The 14,913-nt window shown below is 42.1% G+C and overlaps 1 long non-coding RNA gene across 1 annotated transcript in view, besides 1 other annotated feature; it reads left to right on the top strand.

Moving 5' to 3' along the window:
• Positions 1-14,913, top strand: part of LINC00299 (long intergenic non-protein coding RNA 299) — a 320,649-nt gene that overhangs the window by 229,858 nt on the left and 75,878 nt on the right. The gene's annotated exons all lie outside the window — the stretch shown is intronic.
• Positions 10,888-12,087: an enhancer, noted in NCBI's record as "MED14-independent group 3 enhancer chr2:8226605-8227804 (GRCh37/hg19 assembly coordinates)". NCBI's record gives its function as "activates an origin of replication core promoter dependent on BRD2, BRD4, P300/CBP and CDK7 cofactors, and independent of MED14, by STARR-seq in HCT116 cells {active_cell/tissue: HCT116}" and the evidence as "EXISTENCE:reporter gene assay evidence [ECO:0000049][PMID:35650434]".

Raw genomic sequence — 14,913 nt, 5'->3', positions numbered from 1 at the left:
TGGAGAGGGCTCTCCACCCTGGAATCTTGTGATCCTGGACAGGATAAAACAACTCTCTCTCTCTCTCTGTTTGGATGGTTTTAATAGCCTACAAATATGTCTTAATCCAGGAGACCTCAATGGCTGGATAGGCAGGAATGCATTTTTTTGTCACAGCTATTCTCCTCCAAGATGGTTTGGTTATATAATTTGTGTGTTCTGTAGGGTCATTATTATTGTTTACCAGGCAATTTACACTTCATCTAAATATTTGAATTTCAGATTTGGTGAACTGGGCATTTTCCAACAGGAACACCTGCCCAGTTTCTTAGACACTAGAATTAAACTCTCAGAAACGTTGTTTAGGGCCTTCTTTTCAGAATCTATCCTATTTTCCCCAAAGATCAGAAAGTTGCAACCTTTGAAAAATATCTTCTTGAGTTTTTTCTCTCCTGCGGTTTTCTGATTATCTTTTTTGATTAACAGATTTTGAAATATAATTCATATACCATACAATTTTCCAATTTTAAGTATACAGTTTCCTTGTTTTTAGTATATTTACAGACTCACGGACTATGAAAATCAGTATTAGAAACTTTTTATCACCCCCCAAAATAAACCAATACCCTTTAGCTATCTCACTCGCCAAGAGACTCCATCCCCTCCTCCAGTCCCTGGAAACTACTAATCCACTTTCTGTCTCTATAGATTTGCCTATTTTGGACATTGCATAAAATGGAATCATATAATATATGGGCTTTGGTGTTTAGCTTCTTTCCTTTAGCATAGTGCTTTCAAGGTTCATTCATATTGTAGCATGTATTAGTATTACATCCCTTTTCTAATCATATATCATTCCATCTTTGTATATACCACATTGTTTGTCTGTTCGTCAATTGGTGGTCAGTTGGAGTTGTTTCCACCTTTTGGCTATTATAAAGAATGCCGCTATCAACATTTGTTTGTAAGTGGGTTTTTTTTTTTTTTGCGGGGGGACATATTTTCATTTCTTTTGGGTATCTACCTAAGAGTGAAATTATTAGATTAAATGGTAACTCTCTGTGTAATCATTTGAAGAAATGTCCAGTTGCACCATATTACATTCCCACAGCAGGGCAGGAGGGTTCTGATTTCCCCATATCCTTGCCAACACTCGTTATTATCTGTCTTTTGATTATAGCCATCCAAGTGGGGTGTGAAGTGGTATCTAATTGAGGTTTTGATTTGCATTCCACTGATGACTAATGATGTTGAGCATCTTTACACGAGCTCATCAGCCCTTTGTGTATCTTCTTTGGAGAAATCTGACTATTCTTTAAGCTTCTGCTTTTGGCACATCATTGCCCCTTTGTCTTCAGCTCTCTGGTGGCCTTCCAGAATATAGGGCAATTGCCAAATAATCTGAAATCTGCAGATTTTGGGAACTACAAAACAGGATGGTTAATAACACATCGGAATTGCAGTGTTATTACCCCCCACCTTCATTTTAAGCTACTTTTATGTAGTATCATAGCTACTTTTATGATACAATATAATCATATAATCTGTTATTACATATACTCAATGCAACATGATACGATTCAGCTTTAAATGTTAATGTCTTCATTTTATGTACTTGATTAGGATAATTTCGGTTTTCATAATATTGTCTTTATATATAATGACATCCTACTGGTTCAGGACAAAGAAGCTTTAAGTATAAACATGCTGGTTTATCTTAGAAATACTAGCACTCAAATTAGAGAATTACAATAAAACAAATGATCAAGATTATGTTTCTTCTCCTTCAAGGAACAACATTTCTATTCTGTCTCTTTGGATCTCCTACCAAGAGTTCACTGCCAACATGCCATGTGGTTTTCACATAGAGTTCATGGTGGTGCCTCAGGCTGAGTTCTCATCTCTGTAGACTGATCTCTTTTAAAAGCATGTCATTAGTCAGATCTTAACAACTTTTCCTAAGGGTGAAGATTCTAGTTTGGTTCTTACTCCTGATTTGGTTTACATCTAGGAGGTGTAAGTAAATTAGCTATGGCTCCTAGACGAATTCTTTTTCTATGTCTCTCTCTTTCTTTATCTCTCTCTGTATCTCCTAAGGTACTGTTTGGTGCTGGGTATAAGAAAATCAATAAGGCCTAAACATAGCTCAGCAAATGAAGCAGAAGTTTGCATGATTGTTCATCCACCAGGGGAGGCGGCTGTGATGAAGTCTGTGGGGCCTGGGGGTGCACAAGGATGACACCTCAGTGGCAGTCTTTGTGTTGTAGGTGTTGGTGCCAAGATTTCATAGAGGAGGAGAGAATCAAGCCCTCAATAGTGAGTAGGTGTCAGCCAGGTAGACAGATAAGAGAGCCCATTCCAGTAGGAGGGCCAGAATGGCGAGTGCCTAGAGGAGGGCCAGATGACTCATCTGTGAGACGGGAACAGGTCGTGTGCAGGGAGCACCATCACAAATGTGAGGTGGTGAGCATAGGCCAACATCGCTTTCAGTTGCATTATGGCTTATATTATTATCCCCATTGACCTCAGTTTTACTCTTTGGAACAACAAAGAGTGGATTGAATTATTCTTTCATTAGTACTTTTCATAGATTTGACAACAGCTAATTTCTCTCCCAACTCTTCTATTTTCCAGGCGAAACATTCCTCATTCCTTCACTTTTCCTCATAGGAAATGGTTTTCAAGGCCTTTACCATCAAAATTTTCACTATTGGGTGTGTCTCAATTTGCAATTTTTGTTATTAAAATGTGGCTCCCAACACAGAACCCAGCACTCCAGGTGTTGAGTGCACAGCGTGATGTATTGGGGCCATTCTTTTTTCTGTCATGAGCACTAAACGCTGGCATGCAAGCCTATCAGTCCAGGTGACTTAATTTCAAACTTCTGGGCCTTGTTTACCGATGAAACCAGGTGCTTTCATCCTTGGGCATGTTACTATTTGATTCAAAATACAGAACTGGATATTTATACATATTTATTTTCATCTGGTTAGCTTTGTTCCGTTGTTCTCAATACGCCAGCACCTTTTAAAGTCCTGATTCCACCATTTGATGTTTTGGTTATCTCATTCTGCCTACGGCATCTGATGATTTCAGAGTCATGACATCTAGTTGTCTCCCTCCAACTCTTTAATGAAAATATTGACGGTAACTGGGTTCAATATAGAACCAGCAGCCTCAGCTTTATTAAGAACTGGTGTTAGTTCCTCCCATGACTATATTGAATCATATTTGTGAAACTGACAGTAGTTTAAAAAGTTTTGTTCACTGATTGATAAATAGATACCCCAGAGCAGCATTTCTTAGTTAAATCTTTGGATTTCCTCTATCTTAATGAATGCAGATGCTTATTAAAATGTAAATTCCTGGGCCTCTTTTGAGGCCTACAGCTCAGACACTAAAGGATAGGCACCTATCAGGTGTTTCTCATGAGGACTAGAGTTTGAATGAATAAAGTAGTTATGCTCTGTTTAATGTGAATGATGAACAGTGGTTGAGTACAGGCAGTTTGCATCTCGCTTATTGTAATGGGCTGTGGCTTTATATATGGACAAACATGTTTAAAGTGATATGTTGGTGAAATGATGCCAGAGGGATTTTTGGTGCATCTTATAAAAAAATCCTTCGCCTATAACACCCTCCCCTCTAATGCAGCCTTCAGCCCAGACCAAGGAGCATCTTCGCGTTCTCCCAGAGGTGCCAGCATCTTCCCGGCATTATTGCTGCGTTAGTCAGTCCCTGCTATATTGGGAGAGTGACTGTTTCGCATTGGCTGCATGAAGTGGCTGATCTCATCCGTGAGTGGCACCACCTACAGCCGCGTCAGACTCTGGGGCCTCGACACTTAGGGAGACTGACTCGCAGTTCCGTCCGCACACGCTGCGGCTCTGAATTCACACCAGGGTAGACAGTGTGGGCTTGGCGATGTGCTGTGCTAGGGAAGAGGCTCCTGAAACACATACTGACTCAATCACAACTCTTTAGACTCTCCCTCTATATTCTCTCGTGTAACGTGCCTGCCAAGGCTCCACCTATTCTCATGTGACTGTGACGCTACTCAGGATTTAAAGATCACTATTTTTAAAGCTAGTCGTGAATGTCACATTTTCCCTCTCCTTAGAAGATTCTAATTATCTGTTTGTCAGACATCCCTCTGTTCTCTGCAACTTTATTCGATTCCTCAGTCTCTTTATTTTAGGAGTCAGTGCACATTGTTGTTCAGGTTTTCTTTGGGGATGTTGTGCAGTCTTGATTCCTTCCCTCTCCTGGCAACTGGAAAGGTGTCTGGAAGTCATTCTAGATTTTTCCAGCATCTGACCACACAGACTCCATTATTGCTTGCTACTTAACTTTCTTATGTCAACATCTCTTGAGCTATGTCTCAAAGTCTTTCTTTTGCTTCTGATTTATAAAACTAGTATCTCTCAATTTCTACTGTTCTCTTTTGTCTGTAATATCAACAAGAAAAAGCTCTTTAAATAATTTTTTTCTGATTATAAAAGCAAACATGATCATTGCTTAACATTTTTTCATGTAAGAAATGTAGAAAACAATATATTATTTATTATACTACCCTAACATTTCTACATTTTGATGTAGTTTAATTAAATCTTCCTCAGTGCATACTAATTTTCACAGTTTTCATACTCTACCTACAATTTTATGTCCTCCTTTTGTCACTTACCACCAAAAGTTACCAGTTTCATGTCGTTATAGAAACATCAAAATAAAAATTACTATGTGGAGGTAACCTTTCGTTCATCATTTATAATGTTTCTTACAAATAATCCATGATGAGTATCTTTGATATGAAGTTTTTATCTCTCTATCTCTCTTGGGTAATTTTCTCAGGATAGAGTCAAAGAAATGTTATTATTGTACCAAAGTGACATTTTTAAAGTTCTTGATACATATTTCCAATTTGCCTTCCAAAATGGTTGAATCCATTTATACTCCTACCAGCAATATGTGAAAGTATTTATTGGCATGATTTATTCTATGAAAACCATAGTTACACATTCTAAGGGGAAAAATAGCATCTTATATTAGGATAAAGGTGAAAGCATTTTCATAGTTGAAGCAAATCTTAAGACAGGTTCTATGAGCACATGGTTTTGAGGGCTCAGCAAATCCCTTATCCATTGGGCATGATATGGTGAGCTTCCCAAAGACAGTGAGGGGCACCAGCAATAAATAAAAAGACTACTGTGTAGACTTTTTGCTTTTCTTTTGACTTTTTAAGCATTAACCCAGTCATTCTCACAGATTGCCTGTAAAACAAGAGAGAAAGTCAAATATTATACGACTGCTTAATAATTCATATGCGCTACCCGGGAATCAATTCATATAGACAAATCCCTGGAAATTCAACAGAGAACAATCCAAAAGATTTGCTCCTTGGTCCATGGTATGAAAAATGGTCTACCTGTGACTATCCAAGGCTGGGCACGGTGGCTCATGCCTGTAATACCAGCACTTTGGGAGGCCGAGACTGGTGGATCACCTGAGGTTAGAAGTTCAAGACCAGCCTGGGCAACATGGTGGAACCCCCTCTCTACTAAAAATAGAAATAAAAAATTAGCTTGGTGTGGTGGCACACACCTATGATCCCAGCTACTCGGGAGGCTGAGGCAGGAGAATTGCTTGATCCCAGGAGGCGGAGGTTGCAGTGAGCTGAGGTCACGCCACTGCACTACAGCCTGGGAGACAGAACGAGACTCCATCTCAAAAAAAAAAAAAAAAATTGTGACTATTCAGAGGACTCAGATATTGTTCTCAACCCATTAAAGTGGAAATAGGAATCAGATAGGGGAAAATGGCCATAACAGAGAACTGGAAATATATGGGCTCTCCAGCTGTGATTCAACATTAACTCCCACCGTCATCCCATACAAAATATTTGCCAGTCTAGGCTTTCACCTGCCAGGCTAGAAGAAAGGAATAATCTTGGAGTCAAAGGAGTTGGGGTTGAAATCCTAGTCCTGAAACTTTTGCAGGCTCCTGTGAAATTTACTGAACTTCTCAGAGCTTCATTTTCCTTATTTGTCAAAACAGGGCAATTTTTAGAATATGTAACATTTCTTTTTAATCTAGTGCATTAAATTAAACAATGTGAGTAATTCACATGAAATTGTAATGTGCACATAGACATTATTCAAAATGTCTATTTTTTCTTTTTTCCTTCTCTGTAGAGCCCCCAAATGCGTGACACTTATTCCTGCCTTGTCTTGCTGTTTCCAAAGCGTGGCTTCCTAATCCTAGAATATATTTCAGTGCAAACTGATTTCTTTTCACTCTGCTAACTGTCATGTCTTGGAGCATTTATCCTTTTCTTTTCTTTTCTTCCCTTTTCTTTTCTTTTCTTTTCTTTCTTTCTTTCTTTCTTTCTTTCTTTCTTTCTTTCTTTCTTTCTTTCTTTCTTTCTTTCATTCTTTTGAGACAGGGCTCTGTTGCACAGGCTAGTGTGCAAGTGGCATGATCTCGGCTCACTGCAACCTCTGCTTCCTGGGCAGCTAGGACTACAGGTGTGCACCACTTTTGGTAGAGACAGGTTTTTGTCATTTTGCCCAGGCTGGTCTTGAGCTCCTGGGCTCAAGCTATCTATGCACCTCAGCCTCCCAAAATGCTAGAATTACAAGCATAAGCCACTGAGCCTGGCCACTTTTTTTTTTCTTTTTGAATTTTCAAGCACCAACCAAGTCTTTCTCACAGATTCTCTGGGACAATGTTCTGCACTGTAGTAATATTCTTTTTATGTGTTTCTGTGTCTTCTCAATCAGATCCTGCCCTTCTCATGGGTGGGGAATATCTTTGTATTCCTCTAGGATCCTGACACCATTTCTAAAATGTTACAGGTCCTTGGTGAGTGTCTGTTCATTAGTCAAATGTTCAAATGTTCAATATTCATTCAATATACTATACATATTCTTTTAGAGCTTTCCTTACTAGATGCTGGAAATCCAATCACACATGGGATTGATCAAGTATCTAATCTCCTGGAGCTCCAAGTGCCTCCCTATCATTTTCATACAGGAGGGGCTCAGAGACAGGAGAAAGAAGCACAGATGGGTCTCAAGGTACGAGAGAATCACCTTGACTCTGTGTCTCACAGAGCACTTACTGTGAGACTGAAAATTTATCAGTCACCTGCATCAAAGGAAAAGGCTCACATGGATATTGCTCAATGATCAACAGTTCCAAACACACACACTATCCTGATCCGTCATCTAATGGTTTAGTTATGGTTCTCAGAGTGTAGAGAAGACATATTACCGAAAGCTATAATCACGTGGTAAGTCCTATGATTCCTATGAAACAGGAAGTGCAGGCTCTCACAGAAGGACATGGGAGGGGCCCCAACCCAGTGGGCAGGGGAGGCTTCTTATAGGAGGTGACAGATCAGCTGAGCCAGGAGTCATGCAGGCTGTGTAGCCAGAATGAGGGAGGGTGTTTCACAATGAAAGAGCCATATGTGAGTCAGCCTGGAGCCCCAGAGGACAGCCTGTCTTTGAAGAGCTGAAAGTGCTTTAACACAATTGGAGATTATGGTAGACAGAAGGCAGTGAGTTACCAGGTTCAAGGCTGAGTGGTGAGGGATCAGGAAGGGCACAGTAAACTTTTTAAAAGAGTTTGGCCTTTAGCCAGAGGACACTGGAAAACAACTGGAGGGTTTTAATCACTGGGGTGAGCTCATTGTGAAATGGCAGCCTGGCTGGTGGGTGGAAAGTAGATTTGAGCAGGACAAAATGCAAGCAGTGAGACCAGGAGACAGTGGGAATCATCCAGGAGGGCCAGGGTTCTTTCCTGGGCTAGAGTAATGCCAGCGGGTTTGGAGGGAGCCCGGTGTGGTATGAGATATTTATAAGGTAGACATACTAGGGCTTGATAGAATGTGGATGTTTGAAATTTGGAGAAATAAGGATTGCACTTACAGAAATGATGCTTTTCATTGAGAAAGGAAACACGAATAACAGAGTTATAGAAGAAAGATCATGAATTTGGAACATTCTGAATTTGAAGTGTCTGTGGAACATCCACATGGGGATGTACAACTAAAGTGCATGTTCGAGTCTGAAACTCATGGGCCCATTTTCTGGAAATAGAGATTATTAGAGGGGAGAACCTACAAGAGGCCATTAATGCAAAGAAGTAGATGAAGCTGCCCAGGGGTAACTCAGGCAATGAGAAGAAGCCCACGGTTGCGGCATTTACATGCAATGGATAACCAACTGCAGAGCTGGTTAAAGGGTTGTGCTGCGCTGTCACTCATTTTTCACTTACTCATTCCTTTGCTCAGTCACTTTTTCATCCATTCTTGTATTCATTCTTTTCTTTCTCTATTCATCCATGCACTTGATAATCATTTATTGAGCCAGGCACTGGGTTAAGCTCTGAGGATTCACAGATGAATGAGATACCATTTCTGATCTAAAAGGGGCAAGTGTGTAGTTTAATAATGGCCAAGGTGGTCAATAAGATTCATAATGACAACACGAGGTAATAAGTGCTTTAATGTTAGTAGAGAATTACTTGAATGCAGATTCCTATCCTACTCTGGGAATGCCTTCACAAAGAGAAAATGCTTGAGTGGTGACTTGAAGGACAGACAGAGCCTTAAGAAGTGGACGAAGAGATGGTAGATTATTGCAGAGCAAGAACTGTTGCATAAAATGCATGGACCTCAGGGAATTACAAATTGGTTAATGTGACTCAGCCAAAGGGTACTGAGATAAGAAGTGTCTCTAGGAGCTCGTGATGAAAGACCTTGAACACGGTGATAAGTAGATAAACAAATCTTGGAAGCAGTGGGAAGCAACTACACGACTTTAAACCGTTTTAAGAGGCATGATGGATTGGAGATTTGGCGGATGAATCATTCAGTGTGGAAGTAGACGAACAGGCATGATGAGGTTGTGCACAAAAGCTGGTTGGAATGATGAGGGTGTGACTTCAGTCACAGGAGTGATGGAGAGGCATAACACCATCTGAGAGATGTGAACAGGTAAGAATTGATAAGGCTTGGGGGCCAACTGGTTTTAGGGGCTGAGGAAGAAGGAAGGAAGAATCAAAGATAATGATCAAATCTGGATTTCTGATTTGTGTTAGAGGACAGACGGTGAGGCCATTCACAACATCAGGTCATAGAAGGACGAGGTGCTTAGCTCTGTTTTGGAGCCAGAACAGGTCCTTTTATTACATGTAACTTCAGCCTTGAGAGTGGTTTAGTACGATGGAATTACAATTGCTCTGGCTATAGTGTAAAAGAGGTCTACATCTACGTGGTTCAGCCAACCCACAGGCCTTCTTGACAATCTACAGTATATTTTGAACTGTTCTCATTGCTGAGGAAGAGAGAAAGTTACTCTTTTACAGTTGGCAAACCTTTTGTAACAGGGCTTTCTCCTCTAGAACAATTACAACAGCCTGAGACAGAATTCACCAAGTACTGAATTGTAAGATACGCCTCAAGGGCATTAGGACTTTAAAAGAGCAGGGGATCAGAAAAGCAGCTAGGAGCAATAAGGGGTGGTTTTCTGAAGAGACAGGACTTGAGCTGAGTTTGGCAGAGAAGTATGGGTTATAAACCCAAAGTCTCATGGGCATACAGTGTTGAAACCAAATGTTAAACCAGGCAGTGGGCTCTGAGATTCTGCATGTCTTCCCAAATCATTTTGCTGGTTTAGGAGTTTGGATTTTGGATGAGATTATCATAATTAGTCTGTTTTGTGTGTCATGATTACCACTGAAAAGCTCTCCCACCTCATCCTTCACTCTGTACACATGTTTATGGTATTACTGGATGGTGCTTGAAGAGTTTCTGGCTTTCAAGAGTTTAGGTGCTGGGGACACCTGCCTCCTTCCCTCTGGAATGCTAGGACCTGATAACTGAAAAACTCTATGGATCAAAGTCTGGGCCAGTGGACTCTTGTTCATATCAGGCCTGAACCTGGCCATGCTGACAGCCTCCCCTTGCTGGGGGCCCATGATCCACAAAATCTCCATCTGGAGCTACATCTGTGATTGGAGCAACCCATCCCTGAGCGTTGCCCATATTGCATCTTCATCTGAGGTGTTTCTAGACTGAAAACTAATGGTTTGATTATCACCTGGAGAAACCGGCCTCTTTTTTGTCTGATTTTTATTTCTTGCTTTCTCAGGGAAGCTAAACATGTTGTAAAGGAAGGCCTGGATTCTCACCCCAAAGCTGTGACAATATAAGGGGACACTGTAGGTTGCCACCCTATAAGCTGCATGGAGGTTGTTGGCCAGGGAACCCGGTGAAACCCATATCCCTCTGCTGCGGATCATATTTTTGTTGAAAACACCCCTAGTTTAGTGCTCTGTCTTGATATCTGTCTCCAATCCCTTGACATTAGCAACTCATTAAGATCCTCTTCTTGGGTGAATTGGACTAAGCTTTTCCCTGGGGACTCAGTTCTTAGCTCTGCTCACTCCCTACCCCACCGACTCTGCTTTTTGGTGTCTTCATGAATCTCAGTGTGATGCTACTTCCCTCCACCCCACCTCCAGGTCACATCAGGTGGACCACCTCCTCAGCAGCACACCAGACCCATCTGTTTTAGACAGTCTGAATAGAGAATATAGTAAAAGCTCTAATTTTCCCTTCCTAGAGATGAGTTAGATGCTCAGACTTAACATATAGGAAGAAACACAAGCAGCTGGGTGGCAGAGCCAGTCCACTTGGAAGGTGTTGGCTGGAGCATGGGCATCAGGAGCCTGGGCAGAGTTGACCTAGGCAGATTCTCCTCTGGTCATCCTACTCAGCCTGGGGAGCTTTCAGAGCTGACCACCCTCTGGTGGGAAGGGAGTGGCAGCAGAAGCATCATTTCTATTCTTCTCCAGGGCCTGAATAATTGTGCTGGGAGAGCAGAGCCAGCTAGAAGACTTTGTAACGCTTCTTGGCAAGAGCTGGGCTCCAAAGTGCGGAGGACATTTCCTATCTCTCTCCTGACTGCTATGCTGGGGGTGCACAGAGAGTTCTGAAAAGCCTGATGAGTATTTTTCACAACAGAAGGGAGTCTCATGGCAGCTCTCAAACTTGGTGTGCATGGACACGTCTGCCATGAGTCTTGCCTTTGCAGAAGGAAGTAAAGGCTCTTTGATGACTGGGTCTTCAGCATCGTGTGTCTGCTTGTTACCTGCCACCACATTGCCAGGCATTTCTTCTGTCCGGTGGGCTGGGAAGAGTTAGCAGATCCTAGGGAATGGTGAGCTGTGGTTTGTGGCTTCATGGATATTTAGGTTCCTGCCCATGGAGTCATGCAACACTGTGACTCACCATGAGCTGTACACCAAGTACACCAAGAAGTAGCAAAATCATACTTTACATAGTAATTTTAGAGCTGTTTTCTTTTTCCTTATTTTTAAAAATTACATATGTTACATGCACAGTGAGAAAAATAATTAACTAAGTCAGATACAGTTTCTTAACCTAGACATAGGGTCTATGGAGAGAGCCATTACAGATTCACTGACAAATAATCAAATAATTGTGTGTTTGTGTGTGCGTGTGTGTGTGTGTGTGTGTGTGTGTGTGTGAAAGAGAGAGAGAGAAAGGGAAAAGAGAAAGAGAGAGAGAAAGAGACAGAGACAGAGACAGAGGAGAGTGGTTTTGCCAGTAATGTCAGCAGAACTTCCCTGGGGCTGATAGTGACTGGAGAAGGTTGCCTTGTGGAGTGCCAGTGAAGACAAGCAAAGAGCTTCCCCACTGCATCTGAGATGAGGGGCCTGGACATCTTATCATGACATTCAAGGACTCTGCGGCATGGGCCCAACATGTCTCTCCTAGGGCCTGTCCCCATGGCTGCCTCTTCCTCACCCCTCCAGCCTCTTCTCCTCCCCACCCTTATCCCAACCCACCCATTAATCACACCAAGCATCCAAGGACTCACCATTCACTGAGCCAGGATCTTCTGGCCCCGGTTTCCACTTATGCTTTCACTCCCCCTGAGTGTTGTCATGGTGTCTATTATATCTGGGGACAGATGGAGTTTCTGTGCTTTCAATAGCAATGGGTTAGCACTTCCAGGACTTAAGAGACATGAGTCATTTGAAAGGTTTCAGCATGCCCCTATTCCCTCTCAAAATGTAGTATCCCAATGATGTCCAGACATTGCACAGTGTCAGCAGGGCTTACTAATGTGAAGCTGCAAAGGCCGAGGGTCTCTTTAGGACACCATCCTATGCTTCAGGCACCCCATGCTTTTCTTTTTTCTCTACTTGGTGAAATACAGCATTCATCAAAGTTCAGCTTTACCATATGACACAGTGATTTCACTTCTGGGTATATTTCCAAAAGAATTGAAATCAGGATCTCAAAGAGATATCTGCACTTCCATGTTCATTGCAGCATTATTGACAACAGTAAAGAAATGCAGTCAACCTGTTTTCATCCACAAATGAGTGAGTAGAGAAGATGTGCTGTATCTATGCAATAGAATATTACCCAGCCTTAAAAAAGAAAGAAATCTTGACATTTGCAACAGCATGGATGAACCTGTGAAACATTTTGTTAAGTGAAATAAGCTATGAACAGAAGTACAAACACTGCATGATTACACTCATATGAGGAATCTAAACCAGTCAAACTCTTGGACCAGGCGCAGTGGCTCATACCTGTAACCCTAGCACTTTGAGAAGCCAAAATGGGAGGATAGCTTGAGCCCAGGAGTTCAACACCAGATTGGGCAACATAGTGACACTCTGTCTTTACAAAAAATAATTTTAAAAAATTAGCCTGGCATGGTGGCATGTGCCTGTAGTCCCAGCTACCTGGGAGGCTGAGGTGAAAGGATCGCTTAAGCCTGGGAGGTCAAGGCTGCAGTGAGCCATGAATGCCCCACTGCACTCCATCCTGGGCAACAGAGTGAGACCCCATCTGAACAAAAAAGCAAAACAAAACAAAGACAAAAGAGTTGAACTCACAGAAATAGAGAATACAATAGTAGTTTTCAGGAGCTGGGGTGGGGGACTGGGTGGGCAAAATGAATTGTTCAGTGGGTATAAAGTTTCAGTTCTACAAGATGAGTAGGTTCTAGAGATCTATACTACACTATGCAGTATAGTGCCTTTAGTCAACACAGTATTGTCAACTCAAAATTTGTTAAGAGGGCAGATATCATGTTACACGTCCTTGCCACAAACACAAAACTAAACAAAAGGGACACAAGGAAACTTTGGGGGGTGTTGGTTATGCCTATTACCTCAGTTTTGGTGATGGTATCACAGGTGTTTACATATATTCGAACTCATCCAATTTAAATTGTCCACATTAAATACATGTAGTTTTTGTATATCAATCACACTTCAATAAAGCTGTTATAAAAGTTGCTTTCTGTGTGAAGTCTCCCCTGATCCTGCCTCTTCTCCCCCATCATGGGGTAGACTCACTCATGCAAGCTCCTGCAGTCTGAGCTCAAGCATTTTAATAATGTTTTCTCAAATGTCACTGCAGTCCCTTGGGTGCACATCCTTTCATTCCTCATAAGACTGCATGGACTTTTGAGGGGACGGTCTGAGCTTTGTTCATCTCTGAGTCTTTATCAGGGTGCCTCGCTCAGTAGACACTAATAGAAGATGCCCCTTGCATGAACGAATGAGTTCCCCAAGGCTGGAAGGCTGGGAGAGAAGGAAGAATGACACAGCTGGAAGATTCTCTGTCCATGCAAACAACTGAAATGGTTTTAGTATAAAGCTGCAGAGAGATCAAGAAAGGAGAGTGAGGCAGAAGGGTGCAGACAGTAGGGCTGTGATCACAGATGCCACACTTTCTCCATTCCTACAAGTCATGAAGAGGAGAGTGAGTGAAAGAGTCTGATATTAATATTAGCCCTTCTGGCCAGGCGTGGTGGCTCACACCTGTAATCCTAGCACTTTGGGAGGCTGAGGCGGGTGGATCACTTGAGGTCAGGAGTTCAAGACCAGCCTGGCCAACATAGTGAAACCCCATCTCTACTAAAAATACAGAAGTTAGCCAGGTGTGGTGGCACACGCCTGTAATCCCAGCTACCTGGGAGCCTGAGGCAGGAGAATCGCTTCAACCAGGAGGCAGAAGTTGTAGTGAGCCAATATTGCGCCACTGCACTCCAGCCTGGGTGACAGAGCAAGACTCCATTTAAAAAAATAAAATAAAATAAGGTGCGGGGGAAGAAAGAAAGAAAAATTAGCCCTTCTACAGTGGCATAAGAAAAATAGGTGGCATTTTATTCAGATTGTGTGTGTGTGTGTGTGTGTGTGTGTGTGTGTTGGAATTGGGTGGGGAGGCAAGAGAAGGGGACCCTGCCTTCACCTTGGATCAGTTGCATGTTCTCTCTGAACCTTGGTTCCTCACCAACTACATGGATATTTCAAGGTGCACACTATGGGATTGTTATGGTGATTAACTGGGATGAGGTCATGAAAGCATCCAAGTACATAGCTGGTGCTTGGTCAGTGTTTGTAACTGACGTTTATACTGTATCATTCTTGAGGGAGGACAATAAGAGTTTCAATTTATCAAGTACCTACCTTGTTTCAGGCACTATACTAGTCCTGCGTATGCATTATATTCAATACTTCAACAAATGGACAAGGACAATACCTTGCTGCTACAAAAACCAAAGCTCACATGTTAACAGAATTGCTCCAGAAGAAACAGCCTGAGTGGTGGGAGTGGTAGAGAAGAGCCTGAGCTTAAATCCCACTCTGCACAATAGGGAAACAATTCATTTTACTGCATGGTGGCTTGGCTCTCTCACCCCCTTTCACCTCTTCTATTGGGAGAAGTCAGGAAGCTGCAAAGGATACTTGTGAGCAGCTGGAGATTAGATTGAGAATTGTCTGCCACAGTCAGAAAAACCTGTGGAAGATTTGGAAGGTAGATCTGGAGTAGCAGCTGTGGTCCACCTCCTGCAGCTTCTGAAAGCAAGGAGGTGG

The sequence above is a fragment of the Homo sapiens genome, chromosome 2, assembly GCF_000001405.40.
Source record: "Homo sapiens chromosome 2, GRCh38.p14 Primary Assembly".
NCBI lineage: Eukaryota > Metazoa > Chordata > Mammalia > Primates > Hominidae > Homo > Homo sapiens.
This window is presented reverse-complemented; position numbering and strand designations above follow the sequence as displayed.